Source organism: Homo sapiens, chromosome 13 (genome assembly GCF_000001405.40).
Source record: "Homo sapiens chromosome 13, GRCh38.p14 Primary Assembly".
NCBI lineage: Eukaryota > Metazoa > Chordata > Mammalia > Primates > Hominidae > Homo > Homo sapiens.
The window spans coordinates 84,555,686-84,573,837 of NC_000013.11; the positions used below are offsets into that span (position 1 = coordinate 84,555,686).

Sequence of the window (18,152 nt, forward strand, 5' to 3'; positions counted from 1 at the left end):
AACTTGAATGAAAGAAGCATAATGTTAATTTATATAAAGAGTAATTTGGACTATTTTTAGGAAGTCAAACAATAAATGATTTTTTAAACAAAACCCAAAAAGCAGAAAGGACAAAGTAAAATTAGTTAATTTGACTACACAAAAATTTGTAAGTTTTGTACGAAAATAAAGTGAAAAAAAGGCATATATCGTGGGAGAAGGGTATCTGCAGTACCTTTGACAAAAACAAGTGTAAAACAAGAACAGCAACAATAAAAACGGGTAAAAATAACCTGCTACAGTTTTACCTTTATAATTTGAGAAAAGTTTTTAAAAATCTGAAAATAAGAAGTAGACGTGTAGAAGAATAGAAACTATAAGGTGCTTGGTAAGGGTGTGATTAAGAATATCAACTAAGAAAATAATTTATCAAAATCTGGTAGTAATAAAAATAGCTACTAGCTGAAATTTCAATTAATAGGTATAAATATAATAGATCTATATTACCTGATGTAGAATATTATTTGGGGTTGGGCACAGTGGCTCACACCTGTAATTCCAGCACTTTGGGAGGCCGAGGTGGACGGATCACCTGAGGTCAGGAGTTCAAGACCAGTCTGGCCAACATGGTGAAACCCTGTTCTCCAGTGAAAATACAAAAATTAGCTGGGCGTGGTGGCAGGCGCCTGTAATCCCAGCTACTTGGGAGGCTGAGGCAGGAGAATTGCTTGAACCCGGGAGGCAGAAGTTGCAGTGAGCCAAGATCAGATTGTGCCACTGCACTCCAGCCTGAGAGACAAGAAGGAGACTCTGTCTCCAAAAAAAAAAACAGCATTATTTGGTAAGGCAAAGGATGCATACATATGAATGAAATGTGTCACTAGGGATTAATTTCTAAATGAAATTCAAGTCACCGTAATTTGCATGATATCATAACATTTATGAAAACTTTAAAACAATAGGAAAAACTTCTATAAGTATACATATGTAGTGAAATGTAAAAATATATTCATACATTTGTTAAGAAAAACAGTCAAATTGTTGAAAACCTTTATGTTTATTACATGATTTTTTCTTTTCTAATTAAAAAAAAACCTGCAGCAAATATGCAAACTATATAGAATAATTAATTATAGAAGTTGAATTCTCAATACTATATGACATACTCCTTGTGTTTTATACATTTTATAATAAAGTTTAGATTTTACTTCACCAAATATTTTATGTATGCTTTACACATTTTATAATTCAGTTTAGATTTTATTTTACCAAATATTTTGTTTAATAATCTCTGTATATATACAAAAAATATGTTTTTTGAATATTAAAACTTATAGGAAGAATTCTCCTAAAGTGGACAATGGAGGGGTATGGGAAGAGTCTACAACTTCTTTGATACTCTGCTTAAGGAATGATGATTTCTGTATTTTCTCCCTTTGTATCAGGGCTGAATTTAGTGACTTCTTAGTAATCTAGAAAACAAAATGCAATTGAAGTAAGTAATATCTTATAGCAGGTCACAAAAGGCCATAGAATTTTTCCCTGGTGTTCTCTAGGGTAACTCACCTTGGGGAAGCCAGACATCATGGCTGAGAATATCTTTCTGGAGCCCAGTAGAGCTTTCAATTGAACACAGCCATCAGACTGCAATTGCATGAGTGATTCTATATGAAAATTGCTCAAGGAAGCCCTTCTGATTTCCTAAATCACAAAACCATGAATAAAACAAAATGTTGTAATAAGCCATTTAGATTTGAGTAAATTGTTAATGTTTGATAGGAAATAGAAAAGGCATTTTACTTGTGCTGAAACCAACTGATGAAGGGTTTAACCACAGCTGAGTTATTGGAGGTAGAAGAAGACAGAATGGCACAAAGGAGACATTTGGATGTAAAGATTTTTCTTTTTAAGTAGCTATTGGAAATGAGAGAAAGGAGTTATGAATGACTCTCATTCTTGTGTTTTGGCAATTCCAGTTTAAGTGATAGCATATATATACTATCAACAACCTAATTTTAAAAATACAACATTTAAGAAATAAGTTTAACGGACTGTATCTTCAAATACATCAGAAAACAATGAAACAATTGACATGGTTTGTTTTATGTGAGAATTTGATGTAAATTGAAATTTTATGTATGAAACTTAGAGTAATTAAGAAAATAACTAAACATACTTCAGTGTCAAGCAATAAACGAGAAAGAAACACCAGGTGTTACAAGAGCATGGAGAAGTGATATAGAATCAGACTTCACGGTCAGGGAAAACTTACAAATGCCAGAGAAGCTGAGCTTTGAAAGAAGAGTAAAATTTAGCTCATGAAGATGAAAGAATATTGCATTTAAATGTATATATGCCTAAGAGAGGATAATAAATTTTAAGAGAATTATTGAAATATACAGATGGATTGGTTGCAGAGGAAGATAAAGATGTAATTGTTGGCAGATTGTGGAGTCCCACCATGCACAAAAAGTGTGACTTATTTTCCTTAAAGTTCTCAGCATGCCCTGAAGGATTTTTAAGGTGAAAGATGACATAATTACATTGATGTTTGGAGGGAAGCCATACTGGAAGGCAGAGAAACTATTAGATGACTGGAGCAAAAAGAATCACCACATTGGTTGTGAGTTTCGAGAAATTGAGAAATTGTGGGAAAAGGAAATAAAGTAAAATCTGTAGTCCCTGTATCTCAGTGAACACAAGACGGGAGTGAAGAGAAAAATAGAGCATGAGATAACCACTGGAGTTTGGCTAAGTGCTGAGGGGATGCTATTTTCCTTGATGGTGAAGAGCCACAAATAGACCACACACTCTAAACTGAAACTTTCCAAATCAAAATTATTCCTAGTGCATTTGTCCAATCGTATCGCTTCCATCTTTTGCAAGCCCTTCCTGGTATGTTATGTGAAGTATTGTCTTTCTGGAGTTGTCCTATACAGATGCTCATATGGTATCTTAATTTAGAAATAGAGGAGAAAAAAAAGGTCTTTTTCTGGTAACTATCTATTTGAAAGCATTTAAATACAAACTTTTTTGCATTGGTATAAATTTGCTAGCTTAATTTTTCTGTATCTTAACACAAAACATATGCTCACCTCTCACTGGTGAATCTGCAAGCTGCTAAAAGAATTACGTCTCCATGTATCTAGCTGAACATGCCACTCCATCAATGGTTTCACATCTTTAAATGCAGGATATTTACACTAACAATTTAGATCAAAGTTATCTATATTGTTATCTACCAGGATAGCATTTCTTAAAAAGAGAGACCCAAAAACCATAAAGCACAATGTAATATTAAATAATTTGACTATATTGAAATAAGTGAATTCTGTATAAGTTTAAAAAAGTAAAAAGACAAGTTACATATTATAAAACAATCATTTGTGTTTCATATAATTGACAAAGAAGTCTTTTAAAAACATTAAAATATATATACCTAAAAAAGATGCGGAACTTCCTATTCAACAAGGAATGTGACTCAAAGTAACTTGATACAATTTTTCACCCATCATTTGTACATAAAATTTAAAAACCAGAAAATAATTTAAATCTTACAAGAGTCTTTTCTAAGAAATTTGTTGCACAAGATATTTAATATGGCTTATATTTAAATGGATATCCAGTTGGGAAGACTATAGTTATCCCTAATCACCATTTTGGTATTAATTACTATTTAATTCTCTGCCTTAGTCTTTCTCTTTTTCAAACACACACACACACACACACACACACACACACAGGCACACACATACACACAGAGAGATACTTTTAGATTTTCTAATCCATTGATGCATTGTTTTTATTCACATAACAACAGTAAATCCTCACTTCACATGTGAGCCAGTTTTTGGAAACTACAACAATAAGAAAACCATTTTTTCCCTCGTCAATGTTATAACAAGTTGTCATTGAACAAAACTATGTAATTCCAGGATTTATTGTATATTGTTTATCTTAAAGTCACAGTTACCAAGAACCTGTGGACAATATTAAGTATTTATTGCATACCACATGTCCATTTTGCACTATTTGGGGGAAGTTTTTATTTTTCCTAAGTCAAGCTTTTGACTTTTATCCATCTTGAAAACGTCTCAAAATTTTACTCTTATAAAATAATATTGTGAAAGGAACGTAGAAACTCGAGACTCCAGTTCACTACGCCAAGAGGAAAAAATTCAGCTCAAAGTTGAGTCATAAAAGAGCTGCCTTTCCTTTTGTTCCTAAACAGACAACTACAGATAAAAGCTTAAATATATCAGAGGTAGCTACTCTATGTTCATGTAGTCTTATGAAAAGTGCTGAATAACTGAGACAAAAACATAACTGATCATTCCTCAAACTGCTCATTTTCCCTTGCAACATGTGGATGACCATGTCCTCCTTTTCCTCCAGCCCACTTTTCCCCTTTAAATATTGAAGCCCTCAAAATCATCTTTAAAGAAAGGCACAGACTACTCGCCAAGACATTTCCTTAAACTTGACAAAGTAAACTTCTAAATTGATTGAGACCTGTCTCAGATATTTTTTGGTTTACAATACTGTAATAATTTTGCTAAAATTTGTGAATAAGTCTTCCACAGTAAATGTGAGAAAAATTGCATGGGTAATGTTTCAGCAATTTGCCTCATTATCTACGACTATCAACTGTTATACATCTAATAGGTCAATCTTATCAGTAAACAAATAAGCTGTAATACATTTACCTTAAAAAAAATAGGCTAGGCATCATGGCTCATGCTTGTAATTCCAGCACTTTAGGAGACTGAAGTGGGAGGATCACTTGAGGCTAGGAGTTTAAGACCAGATTGGGCAACAGAATGAGACTGTGTCTCTACAAAAAATAAAAATGTGTCAAGTTGGACACGGCGGTACACACCTGTGCTTCCCACTACTTAGAAGGCTAAGGTGGAGGGCCCAAACTCCTTGGGCCCAGGAGTTTGAAGCTGCAGTGAACTCAGAGTGAGTCACTGCACTCTAGCCTGTGTGACACAGTAAAACTTTGTTTAAAAAAAAATGCATCTATGTTTAATTCTCAATTTGCATATATTTTCACCTATTAGCATTATTTTATGCAACTGATGACTATTTCCTTCCTGAATCCACGTTTGTTCTGATTTCCAGGACATCATACTCTTTTTTTTTTTAAACCTCATTAATCACTGTTTCCTAGTTTCTGTGGGGAACAGGCATGCAAATCTGGCCATAAACTGGCCCCAAAACTGGCCATAAACAAAATCTCTGCAGCACTGTGACATGTTCATGATGGCCATGATGCCCATGCTAAAGGTTGTTGGTTTACTGGAATGAGGGCAAGGAACACCTGGCCCACCCAGGGCAGAAAACCACTTAAGGCATTCCTAAGCCGCAAACAATAGCATGAGTGTTCTGTGCCTTAAGGACATGCTCCTGCTGCAGACAACTAGCCAGAGCCCATCCCTTTTTTTCCCATTTTAGTTAATCTATAATCTATAGAAACAGTGTTTATCACTGGCTTGCTGTCAATAAATATGTGGGTAAAACTCTGTTCGTGGCTCTCACCTCTGAAGGCTGTCAGCCCCCTGATTTCCCACTCCACACTCTATATTTCTGTGTGTGTGTCTTTAATTCCTCTAGTGCCACTGGGTTAGGGTCTCCACAACAGAGCTGGTCTTGGCAGTTTCCATGGCTAGATTTGCCTAATAACCCTGAGCTTTATGTACTGGAGTATGTTAGGGCACAGTCTTAGGACTTCTCCTCTTGTCTATTGATCTCACCCATTCTCAAGGCTTTGACCATCATGTATAAATAATTTCCCACTTCATATCTCTACCAAAATTTTCCATTAAATTCCAGGCTCATTTATCAAAGTACCTACTAGAATCTGTATTTGGATTTCTGATAAGCATCTGAAACTAAACTTGTTCAAACCTTAATTCAACATCCCCCTGTGACTAACCAGATTATCCTTCAATTTATCCAACTCAGTACATTGCAATTTCATATTTCAGGTTGCTCAGATATAGTCTGTTTCTATTTGTCCTTGTTTCAAATACCAACACTGGAAAGTTAGTTTCATGGTTACCTGGTTTCTATCAGGTAGTTAAAAACACCACTCTTTGATTGGTGGAGAAAAAGAAACCTGATTATCTTCAGATCTTCTTTGTGTTAAGGAGTCTCTTTTCTCCAGACAGCTGAGAAATCAATGATTTATTTCATATTTTTATCAACCATTGATAAAATTCTCAATGCTTTTATCTTTTGCTCTGTTATTTAAATTTTTAGTCTTTTTCACTGATTTTGTAATTAAAAACAAACATCCTCTTACAAAAGGAAGATTCTTTTATGATGATCTGTTTATAGCTGTGTTGGTTCTTTTGCATCTGTAGAAGATACTTTTTAAACATTTGGAGACAATTGAACCTAAAAATTTATCATTTGTATGCACTATGATAATATCAAAGACATGCAAGCAGACATTAATGTTGAATAATTAAAAAAACTAATTATTTTTATAACAATTATATAAATGAGTGTAAATAAATGTTGGAATGGGAATACAGATGGAATGGGAAGGATGATTTCTAGTCTGTCTGTAGTTTTATGCCTCCTTAAAAATCTTAAAGTCAATTCTAAGTAATAAATTTTCTACTTAATAGTTCTAGTTTTTTGTTTGTTTGTTCATTTGTTTTTGAAATGGAGTCTCACTCTGTTACCCAGGCTGGAGTGCAGTGGCGTGATCTTGGCTCATCGCAACCTCCGCCTCCTGGGTGCAAGCGATTCACCTGCCTCAGACTCCGGAAGACCTGAGATTACAGGGGTGAGCCATCGCACCCAGCTCTAGTTATTTTTTTTTAATCTTTACAATTTTCTTTGTAAATAATCATGTCATGTGGGAATAGAAACAGTTTTATTTCTTCCTTTCCAAACGTTATATATTTTATCTTTCTTTATTTCTTAATTAGGGTATCCAGTACAATGATGAATAGAAATGGATAAAGCAGAAACACTTGTGTTATTCTCAATTCCAGAGGTAAAACTTTCAATATTTTACCATTAAGTATGATCATAGTTGTAGATTTTTTTCTTCTGTTTTCTCCTTTTTTTCTCTTCCCTGCTCCTGCCCCTCTTCCTCTGTTCTTTTGTAGATATCCTTTACCAAATAAAGAAAATTCTCTTCACCAAGAAATGGATCATGGTGGTATTCTGATCCGAGACTTCTAGATTCCAAAACTGTGAGAAAAAAAAATGTCTGCTGTTTAAGCCACCTTGTCTTTGGTGACAACCCAGGCTGATTAAGACAGTTATCATATATTATTTATTTACATATTACTAGATTCTATGTAACATTTTGTTAAGTTTTATGTTTACAAGTTATTTCATATTTTATGTCAAGTTTTTTTAAGGGTTTTATAAAGATTTTGCTGCCCTCATGAAACAATTAGGTAACATTTTTCTATGTTGTGAAAGTAAAATTGGTATCATATCTTCTTAAATAATTGATTTAAATTAAAATTTACCAGTAAAATTACTGATGTCTTGAATTTCTTTGTAGGAAGACTTATGGGAGTAGATTCAGTTTATTTTACAGGTAGGTAACCATTCAGATTTTTTTCATCACATGCTACTTTTAGTCAGCTTTAATTTTCAAGAAATTAATCAATTTTGTCTAAGCTGTTTATTTAACTGGCATAATACTATATTCATAACATTCTTGTAACATTTTCTTTTTATGTCTACTGAATCTATAGAGGTACTGAAGCAGTGTTGTCTGTCTGGGGAAATACCCAAGGTTCATTGTTTTGCACTAAGGAAATTGAAAACATGGACACCCATGGAGTAGATTTAAGAGAGGAAAGTTTAATAGGCGAAAGAAGAGAGAGCTTCCTTGTGAGAGGCAAGGGACCCGAGTGGGCTTCTGAGTTTAAGGCAAGATGTGACTGGTTTTATAGACAAGCTTGAGGAAATCGTGTTTGATTTACATAAGTTGCAGCAGATTGGTTGGGCCGGGTGTGTCATTTACATAGTGTGCCAGACAGCTGGTCATCCCATCCTAATTTTTTATTATGAAAGTGAGGTCTTTATCTGGCTGGCACCATGTTACCTGCACATGTGGCGACAAAGAAAAGAGAAGAGGAAACCTCCATGTTGAATATACCTGGCTTCCAGATATCCCTTTTCTATTGACACAGCTGCTGGCATTTACCTATGCAAGCTTCCAGCTTGCTTATCTATGCTTGTAGCTTGATTTTTCAGCTTGCTTTTTGTTAGTAAAGAAATGATTTGGGGGCTGCCTTTTTACTAAGAAAAAATCCCACCAAGAACTCTTTGATCCTTACTTACTGCTTAAATAATTTCTTTTTAACCCCTCTATTAGTAACTTTTCTTTTACTCCTGGTTTTGGCCATGTGCATGCTCTGTTTTCTTGTGCACACTGAGTGTGTAAATGTTATTGAGATTTTCAAAGAACTAACCTTTGGATTTCTTAATTTTTTCTACTAGTATTTGTTTTCTATTACTGATTTTTCAGTCAATCTTTACTATTTCTTTTTTTTCGATTTACTTTTGGTTAATTTTGCTCTTCTTTTCTTAGCTTTTCAGTTTGGAAGATGAGACCATTGATTGTCAATTTTTCTTCCTTTCTGATAATAGGCTTTCAAAGCTGTAAATTGTCTTCGAAGCACTGCTTAGCTGTGTCCCACAAATTTTGTCAGGTCTTATTTTCCTTATCATTCAGCTCAAAATATATTCTAAACTATATCTGTTGATTTCTTCTTTGAGCTATTACTTATCTAAGAGTGTGTTGTTAAATTACAGTGGTTACTTTTCTTATAACAGTTTTTCTATCATAAATATAAACATGGATTAATTTTTTTCTTACTGTTCAAGACATGTACTTCTTTAATCTATCTTTCATCAATCTGGAATATTTCACACCAGCCTGGGCAACATAGGCAGACCCCGTCGTTAAAAAAAAAATTCTTAAAATTACTCAGTCATGTGGTGGCACATGCCTGTAGTCCTATCCACTCAGGAGCCTGAGGTGGGAGGATCACTGAGCATAGGAGGTTGAGGCTGTAGTGAGCCTGATCACTCCACTGCACTGCAGCCTGAGCAAGAGAGCAAGACCCTGTCTCAAAAACAACACAACAACAAAAAAGAATTTTTATAAGTATCGACTTTTTAAATACTCTTTACTTTTAGAATTCCTATTAAACATTTGTGATATCTGCTATTTAAACTTGTAGTTTCCTTGGGCTGCCATATAAAATTACCACAAAATCGATGATTTAATATACATTAATTTATTCTTTTATAGGAGGCCTGGAGTCTGAAATCTAGGTGTGAGCAGGAATTCATTCCTAGCAATGGCTCTATGAAATTTAAACATACCAGACTCCAAGGAGAATTAAAATATCTGGTATGGCATGTACAGCCTAAGTATCTGTTTATAGTATGTCTTCTGCAAACTCTCTAGGGGAGAATCTTTTCAGGCTTCTTCTAGCTTCTGCTGGCAGTTGACATTCCTTAATTTATGACCACATCAGTCTAATTTCTGCCTTTGTCTTCATGTCACCTTCTTTTATGCTGTCTACCAAATCTCCTCTGCCTCACACTTATAAAGACACTTGTCATTGGAATAAGACCTGCCCGAATAATCTAGAATGATCTCCTCATCTCAAGATTCTTTATTTGATTAAATCTGCAAAACCATTTTCCCAAATAAGGTAATGTTTACAGGTTTCATTAATTAGAACATGAACGTATCTTTCAGTGTGTTACAAAAAAACCCACTACAATTTTTTTCATTTATCTTAATTGCAAGAGCTACTTGATTTATTTATTAGTCCGAGTTCTCCAGAGAAACAGAAACTTTAGGATATATGTGTGTGTGTATATATGTGTATATATATATATATACACACACGCATAAAATATGTATTTATATACATACACAGATATATATTGGCTAATGTGATTGTGGAGCTGGCAAATCGAAACTCTGCAGGGCAGGCCAGCAGACTGGAGGCCCAGGGAAGTTGATATTGCAACCCAAGTTGAAAAGCAGTCTGGAGGCAGAATTTCAACTTCCTTGGAGGATTTCAGTCTTTTTCTTTAAAGGGCTTCAGCTGATTGAATGAGGTCCACTATATTATGGAAGTTAATCTATTTACTCTAAGCCTACCGACTTAAATGTAAATCATGTCTGAAAAATACCTTCACAGCAACATCTAAACCAGCGTTTGGCCAAATACCTAGGTACTATGGCCTAGCCACATCCACATGAACACATAAAGTTAAGCATCACAATTAATTTCCATAATTTTATTTTTGTTTAAATCTACCTGTCCTCTTTGTTTACAGTCTCTCTGTTTCTTTTCTTTACAATTTATAGACTTTCCATTTTCATGTTCAAAATTTCTTAGGCCTACAATCCTCTTTTATTTATCTGCTATAATTAACTCATTTGGATTAATCTCATTTTTTACATTGTGATTTTATCTTCAACCACACTGTTTTCTTTTTGTGAGGATCTCATGAACTTGTGATGTTTTTTAGCCAGTTTTAGGTTTTGCTAAGTGCCACAGATATTTATTTTGATATTAATCCATTGGTTTGGAGATTCTTATACTATGATGATAGTGTAAATCTGGGCCCTGTACCCACAGGCATTGGTTTCTCAGTTGAGTCCTGTCTGAACAGAGATTTGTGTGCGTGTGTGTGTGTGTGTGTGTGTGTGTGATGGTGTGAAGTTGAATAGTGGAAACAGATACCATATGACCCACAAAACTTAAAGTATTTACTGTCTAGTTTTTACAAAAATAAAAATAAAATCTGCTGACACCTGCTCTTTGGGCCTGCAAAAGAGAATTAGCTGGACGTGAAGGGAAATGAGAAAATGGTTATTTTTAGTCTGTGAAAAACCATTCTCTAAGAATGGTTTTGCTTGTTCATCATTTTCCCTGTTTACAGAGTGCCTAAGTAGCTGTTGGTGATTGAGGCTGTGGCATTGTCTACTACTTTTTCTCTTGCAGGCAAACAAACACCTATAAACAGAATCTTCGCATAATTTACATCTTTTTTTTTTTAACTTCAGGTTACACGGATAAAACCCAAACACATCAGACTCAGAGCTCAGAGGAGAATTAAAATGTCTGTTACGGCATATCTAGTCTAGCTATCTTGTCACGGTGTGTCTTCCACAAATTAATGCCTCTTGCCCAAACTGTTTGGGCATCCCTATGTGATTCTTTTATCTTCTGATTGTTGGCACAGCATTCCAGGCTTCTCATTACATTTTCCAGTTAATGTTTGCTAATGGCAAACATCCAATACTAGCATTTCTAAAGCATGATAGATTTCAGTCCCAGAGTAGAGTCCAATTCCTCAGAAGAGTGAATCCCAAGGTATGTTAGAGCAAAAACCTGGAATAATTTCAATTTTTTATATTCAGAAACACCTCAAATTTCTTAATACATTATGTATTCCTGGAAAATGAGTGTCTTAGTCAGTTTGGGCTGCTATAATAAAGTACCGTAGACTGGGTGGGTTTTAAACAATGAAGATTTATTTCTCACAGTTCCATAGGCTAGAAATACAAGACCAGGGGGCCAGCATGGCTGTGGTCTTGAGGACCCTCTTCTAGGTTGCAGACTGGTGTTTCTGTTGTATCCTTACATGGCTCCACTCTCATGACCTAATTACCTCCCAAAGAGCCTATCTCCTAATCTTCATTACCTTGTGTGTTAGGGTTTCAACATACGAATTTGTGGGGACACAACACAAATATTCAGTCTCTAATAGTTGGCTAATGATATATTTCCAGGTTGTAAGTTTATGGTGGTTTTTATTCCATTTCATCTATGTAGTAAGCTTTCTTTAACCTATCAAAAATTGATTCTCATTCTAGCATGTCCAATCTCAAATAGCATATTTTCTCCCAAACCTCAATTGTATTTTACTGTTTTCCCATGATTTTAAAGTATAGGTCTGACCAATGACAGCCCTTTGAGTCAGAAGTCTAATGATAAGACTATAGTCAGATAGGGAAAAGGTGATCTTGTCAAGTTAGGGTAAAAATTTAATCTAAGATGCACCTGAGTATTCATTGTACCTTAAAACCAAAACATTAAAAGCCTGAAAATGCATTTCTTAAATATGGGATTTCCCCAGGGCATTATTACAGTTTAAAAAAATATCTGAGTTAAATCTTTAAAAAACAATGCAAAAATTAGTGGGGTTTTTTGAAAGCAAACCCTAGGTGAAAATTCTGTAAAATTGCTTTCAAAATATTTCCTTATTGTACTCCTTTCAAACTCTGCTGCTGCTGAAACGTTTCTCTTCTGTCCCTTAATTTTCTGTCTCTTACCTTTACTTCCTCTTTCTTTCACTCTCACTCCTGTTTCTTCTAATTCCTCATTCTGTCCCTCCTCTGCTTACAATTGGTGAGACATTATTGCCTTCCAAATACCAACACTCCTAACTCTTGCACACTCTCATTGCAAGCAGACTCTTGGGAATCATTTTCTTTCTTTTTGCTGACTACTTTTTTTCTTGTGAAGTAGATCCTATTGGAAATCTAGTGATTAAGTCATCCATCTTGCTGTACAACTAAATACTAAAATCCTTTTCTTTGATTCTTTCTGGGTTGCCAGCAATATTATCTCACGCTTGCTACATAAATTTCCTTGCTCCACAAACGATCTCATTCAAAACCTCCTTATTATTTAAGAAAATGCTGTGTACCAAGAAAGTTTCCAGTAAATATTAGCAGATGATTTATAACAATGTAAGGATGATTATGAGTGATGATAGAGGATCTACAGTGCTTACATGTTTCATGGTGATTTTAATGGTTGAAAAATTGTGTTTTGTACTTGAGATTACCCATTCATCCTGCAGTTACATCAATTATTGTTTATGGGAATATTTAAAAATTCATATATATTTTTAAGAAGTGAGCACTTATAATGTTTCTAGGTTACAGACAACTGCAACACACTTTAGAATTGTATAAATCTATTATTTTCTAAAGAAGCTGTAGCCACTTAAAAATACTATAAAACACAATGATTTCATAGCTTTATTTAAAGATTAATTACCATTATTTTAAAAAGAGGATGACATAAGTAATATTTTAATAATTTTTCTTTAGGAATAGTCAAATTATAAGTGTGTAGCCAAGCAATTATATAACGTAATGACATAGTTATATTTATGATTGACAGGTAGTATTTGTTCTTTTCTTCATATTTATTGGTTTTCTACAGGATATATCATATTATACACTATTTTCCAAATATGAGTTACATTAGAATCTCCATTACTTCAAAATATGCTGAAAAGATATGAGTCATTGTGTTTCCTGGCATTTCAAAACTGCTAAAGGTGTAAAATTTAATGTTTAGATAACAGCATTTGACGTTGTGACAAATGACTAATTAGTATATTTTCAACATTTACCTATAGAAGTAAAAACTGAAGACAAATACTTCATGCAACTTGTTTCTGTGATATTATTTTTTACCAACAGCACAATTTTCTGCAGAGACACTTTTCAGAGAAGTATGTACAATTAAAAGTTTAGAGACTAAAACTTTGGTACAGCTACAAAAAAATATTGTGCCAAGTTGATAGTTAACATTTTATTGTAGTTGTTTTGCACCTTGTTGATCTGGAAGTTAATAATTCAGCATTCTAGAGTGGGTTACTTTACAGTTTATAACACAATCTCATATTTATCACATTATACATCTATATCACTTCTACCTCTTCCAAAACAGTTTTTATTACTAAATAGTAAATCTTTTCGAGTGTAGAGAATATCATGAGATTTGCTGGATAAATTAACTGCTTTGCAAATGGCATAAGAAATGTCACATTTTATGAATCAGAGTTAACAAGATCTAAAAAATGATACTGCACATATTTCACAGTGCATTATAGGAGTAGTCTATCTCAGTGTATTGCAGGGACTTACTCTCAAATTTCAAAGCATCAGCAAAGAATCTCTTTCCAGCAAGTTTTAGTAGTGATTTCACCAAGATTACTCCAAACATCATTAATACCTAAGAGGTTTCTAACATGATATGGATGAGAGGATGCTGAGAAAATATTTTAAAATGCATTTTGTCTGAAGTGTGACAATTTTTAATTCTTTTATAACTATTTTATTCTTTATTTCTCAGTCAGGTATTTATTACATGATACTATTTATTCTAAATGACAGTGACAATTGCCTGAGGTTTTCAGAATGTATTCTTGTATATTGAAAACTTTATACATTCACAATATTCTATAAATATGAAGAACATAAAGTTTATTAGAATTGTTTACATAAATTAGCTTTTTCAAGGAAATTTTTTATGTTGTTTTTGATTATCTCATTTTTGAAACACCATGTTTGAATGAAAAATTATGATTATTTCATATTTAAAAGAGTATTCCATATGTAAAAAGATGGGTCAATACCTACAAGACAGAATTTTTTCCACATAACAAAAAGAAGTTCTTAAAAGACAAGATAATAAAGGAGAAATAAGAAACCACCTGATTAATAATATAAATTGATTCCAAATAAGCTTAAAAATATTTGATTTATGCTTATCTAATTAATTTGTTCTTTCTCTCACTGCACTGCTCTAGTTATTTTATAATATATTTTGGATCTTACAGATCTTTCCACTCCTTCCTTGTAGAAAATAGATAATATTCATCAGATTGATAATCAAATCTATGAAGCAATGATAAAAGCACATTAAGGAAACAATTATTATTATTATAACAGCCCATGTACATGATAAGAACTAACTATTTTTTAACAAATTACAGCCTGTTTCATCATAACATCTTGGAACCACCTTAGGAATGGAAATTTACTGGCTGGTTGTTGAAGCTAAACAGAGTGCGTCATTAGTAGGCTAATAAGTTAAAATAAGCCATTATTCAAAATACAAACTTTAAAAAACATTACAGTTTTTAGGTATTACTAGATAATGGTTGTAACTCTTCACTAAGAAACTGTCTGCAATTATTACACTAGACCTTGAATTGCTCATTCATAATTGCCTTCACATATGAGGGAGCATGGTGAATGCTGCTCCTGACAATAACAAAGATGTATCATTCCTATCTGTGTTATTAACAAATAACAAATTAACTGTGTAACTATTGCTCATAATTTAGCCTCATTTATGCCTTATCATTTTCCTTATAGAGCGTATATGACATTAATACTAATGCAATAACCAACATTTCTTGTATCTTTTGAAATTACTTACAGAGTAGTCAAGTCAATAGAAAACTATACTGAATTGGGGCTGAGTGTTCCTGTGGCAGGCCTTGTGTGTCAGGACCCATGCAGCTTGGTTTACTTCAACTTATCTCTGCCAAATACTTGAGTCACTGTTCATGAGTATTCTACTAGGGATTGTGAACTCATTGATAGGTTGTTTATGTCATATAAAGAGCACTGATATTTCAAAAACTGAAATTGTATACTTTAAATATGTAAGATGAAAGCCCATTTTATCCATCATTTAAGACCCTGGACCACATTAAACGTAGACTTCTAGTTGAAGTTTAGAATGAACTAGAATATAGGAAAATGCCCTAATAATTTAATGTATTAGTCTGTTTTCACATTGCCATAAAGATACAGCCCGAGACTGAGTAATTTATAAAGGAAAGAGATTCAATTGACTCACAGTTTTGCATGGTTGGGGAAGCCTCAGGAAACTTAGAATCATGGCAGAAGGGGAAGCAGGCACGTTCTCCTCAAGGTGGCAGGAGAGAGAAGAGTGAAGGAGGAACTTTCTAACACAAACAAAACCATCAGATCTCATGAGAACTCACTCACTATCACAAGAACAGCATGGGGGAAACTGCTCCCATGATCTGATCACCTCCCTCCTTCAACACGTGGGGATTACAATTTCAGATGAGATTTGAGTGAAACCATATCAATTAGCAATTGTTGTTCTTTGTTCTTTCCCACTTTCCCTACTTCTCTCCTTCTTGCCTTTCCCTCTCTCTCTCTCTGCCTACCTCCTTCCTTTCTTTGTTCCATATTTAAATATTATTATTTCTGTTTATGTTGGAATCACAAGGCCCTGCTCCCCCTTGGTTTCAACCATACTATTAATAGATTTTCACAGTTTCTTTTTCTCAGCCTTGAACAGATACCCTACAAGAAGCAAATTTTGAGGGAAGCAAAAGTTTATTCTGTCTTATTTTACTAACATCACATGACTATCATTATGTGGTCATAAAAAGCACATTCTTCTATATTAAAAGTATAAGGCCAGGCACGGTGGCTCATGCCTGTAATTCCAGCACTTTGAGAGGCCTAGGAGGGTGGATCACTTGAGGTCAGGTATTCAAGACCAGCCTGGCCAATATGGCAAAACCCCATCTATACTAAAAAAATATTAAAAATTAGCCAGGCATGGTGGTGGGCACCTGTAATCTCAGCAGCTCCAGAAGCTGAGGCAGGGAGAATTGCTTGAACCTGGGAGGCAGAGGTTGCAGTGAGCCAAGATTGCACCACTGCACTCCAGCCTGGGTGGCAGAGCGAGACTCCATCTCAAAACAACAAACAAACAAACAAACAAACAAAATATACGTTAAATAAATGAAGTGTTTAAGAGGAAAATAGTTATCCGACAGTTATGCAAGATGAGGCCTAAGAATTGGCCTTTGGGCTTTCTAATGCTTAGCTTTTATAGATACTAATATATGTGTGTTTATGTGTGTGTTTTAACATGAGATAAATTACTGCAGTTGCATGTTGCAGGAAATAATACCATTAAATGAGGAAAAATATTAAGGGAGAAGTGAAAAAGGAAGAGAGAGAGATTGAATTGCCAGAGTAATATTGAATAGGCAAGAGAGGATGGGTTCAATGCATAAGGAGACAGGATAGCCCCAGGAAGGAACAGAGATTGTTCATCTTTAGTTGGAGAAAGAAAGGAAGAGAATATGGTTAGTGATGCTGACAGATAGGTGGATATTTTCCTCAATAAAAAGGCAATGGAAGCCAGTAAAAGAGAAAGTGTAATAAGGCATAAATGAGGCAATGGGAAAAGTGGGAGGTGTTTAACGAACTTGAGGAGAGAGGAGAAAATGTAATTGTCTTCTAGAAGAGTAGTATAATGAATAGATTATGAAACACTGATACAATGACTGGGCAGCATTTAGTGGTCACTTTAGTAACCACAGATTTGCAGTAAGACTGTTAGGCTTTTTGTGCTTTGTATCATTATCTAGTTATAGAATCAGAGTGGGTAGAGACATCACTTAAACAAGATTAGGGTTTTCTCAAAAGACTAGGAAGAAATAGAAGGTATGAGAATTAAAGCTATATACAAAGGACTGATTATAATGCTGTCACAGATAATTTAATCTATATAAGATGAAAATGTAGAAATGAAGAGGGTTATAATTTGTGAAAATAAGTGATCTAAGCTAATTTTAGGCTCTTGTTGAGAAGAGAAATATAACAATTAGGTAATTGCTGTACTCTGGGGATAGAGTAGAAAGATATTGAGATCAAAATAATGAGGGAGTTGCTGTGATTAGAGATTCTATATCACAACTACGGGATTAAGTGGCTAATATTAGGAGGAGGACAAAATTATTGAAATCTATGAAGTCAAAAAATGGAAAGTCAAGGGGTTTGGAAGAACAATCAAAGTTGTTACTAAAATTATGCGTACTTACAATAGGAGTAATATTAGAGAGTAACAGAGAGCTAGAAGACAGAATACCGACTGAGTGAAGGCAATTAACCTAGGGACTTTATAACAATCAGGCATATTGGATACTATGAAATAATGATGCAACATTTCTGTGGGTACTATGGTGTGCTATCACATGACTTAAAGTTGGAAGTGCCTAACAGAGAAAGAGAAAAAAAAAACAATATCAGAAAGCAGTGTAAAGAACACTTAGCACATTTCTTGGCCCAATAGTGTGAAATGTGTGAAGAGAAAGTAGCTAAGAGTTTTGAAGGCAGAAAGAGAATGCGTGTTCCCAGGAGAGAGCCATTTTCAAGTTAGACTAAGAAGCCAAAGAAGACATTTAGGACAAAAGTTCAGAATAGAGGTGATTTTGCAGATAATTGATTGTCAGTCCCAACAAGCATGGTATAAAGAGTTCAGAGTTTAAGAAAGGAAGTCAATGGCGTCATAAAG

At 34.2% G+C, this 18,152-nt stretch overlaps 2 long non-coding RNA genes across 3 annotated transcripts in view; one reads left to right on the forward strand and one right to left on the reverse strand.

Annotated features, from left to right (window-relative positions):
* The window catches only part of LOC105370289 (uncharacterized), a 159,166-nt gene extending 143,834 nt beyond the window's left edge, over positions 1-15,332 (reverse strand). For both annotated transcript variants that reach the window (XR_942134.1, XR_942133.1), the window contains exon 1: positions 15,240-15,332. This is a non-coding gene — a long non-coding RNA (uncharacterized LOC105370289). The remainder of the gene's footprint in view (positions 1-15,239) is intronic.
* The window catches only part of LINC00333 (long intergenic non-protein coding RNA 333), a 466,167-nt gene that overhangs the window by 415,084 nt on the left and 32,931 nt on the right, over positions 1-18,152 (forward strand). Inside the window, exons 4-6 of the long non-coding RNA NR_046871.1 lie at positions 6,679-6,778; positions 6,924-6,991; positions 7,107-7,549. This is a non-coding gene — a long non-coding RNA (long intergenic non-protein coding RNA 333). The remainder of the gene's footprint in view (positions 1-6,678; positions 6,779-6,923; positions 6,992-7,106; positions 7,550-18,152) is intronic.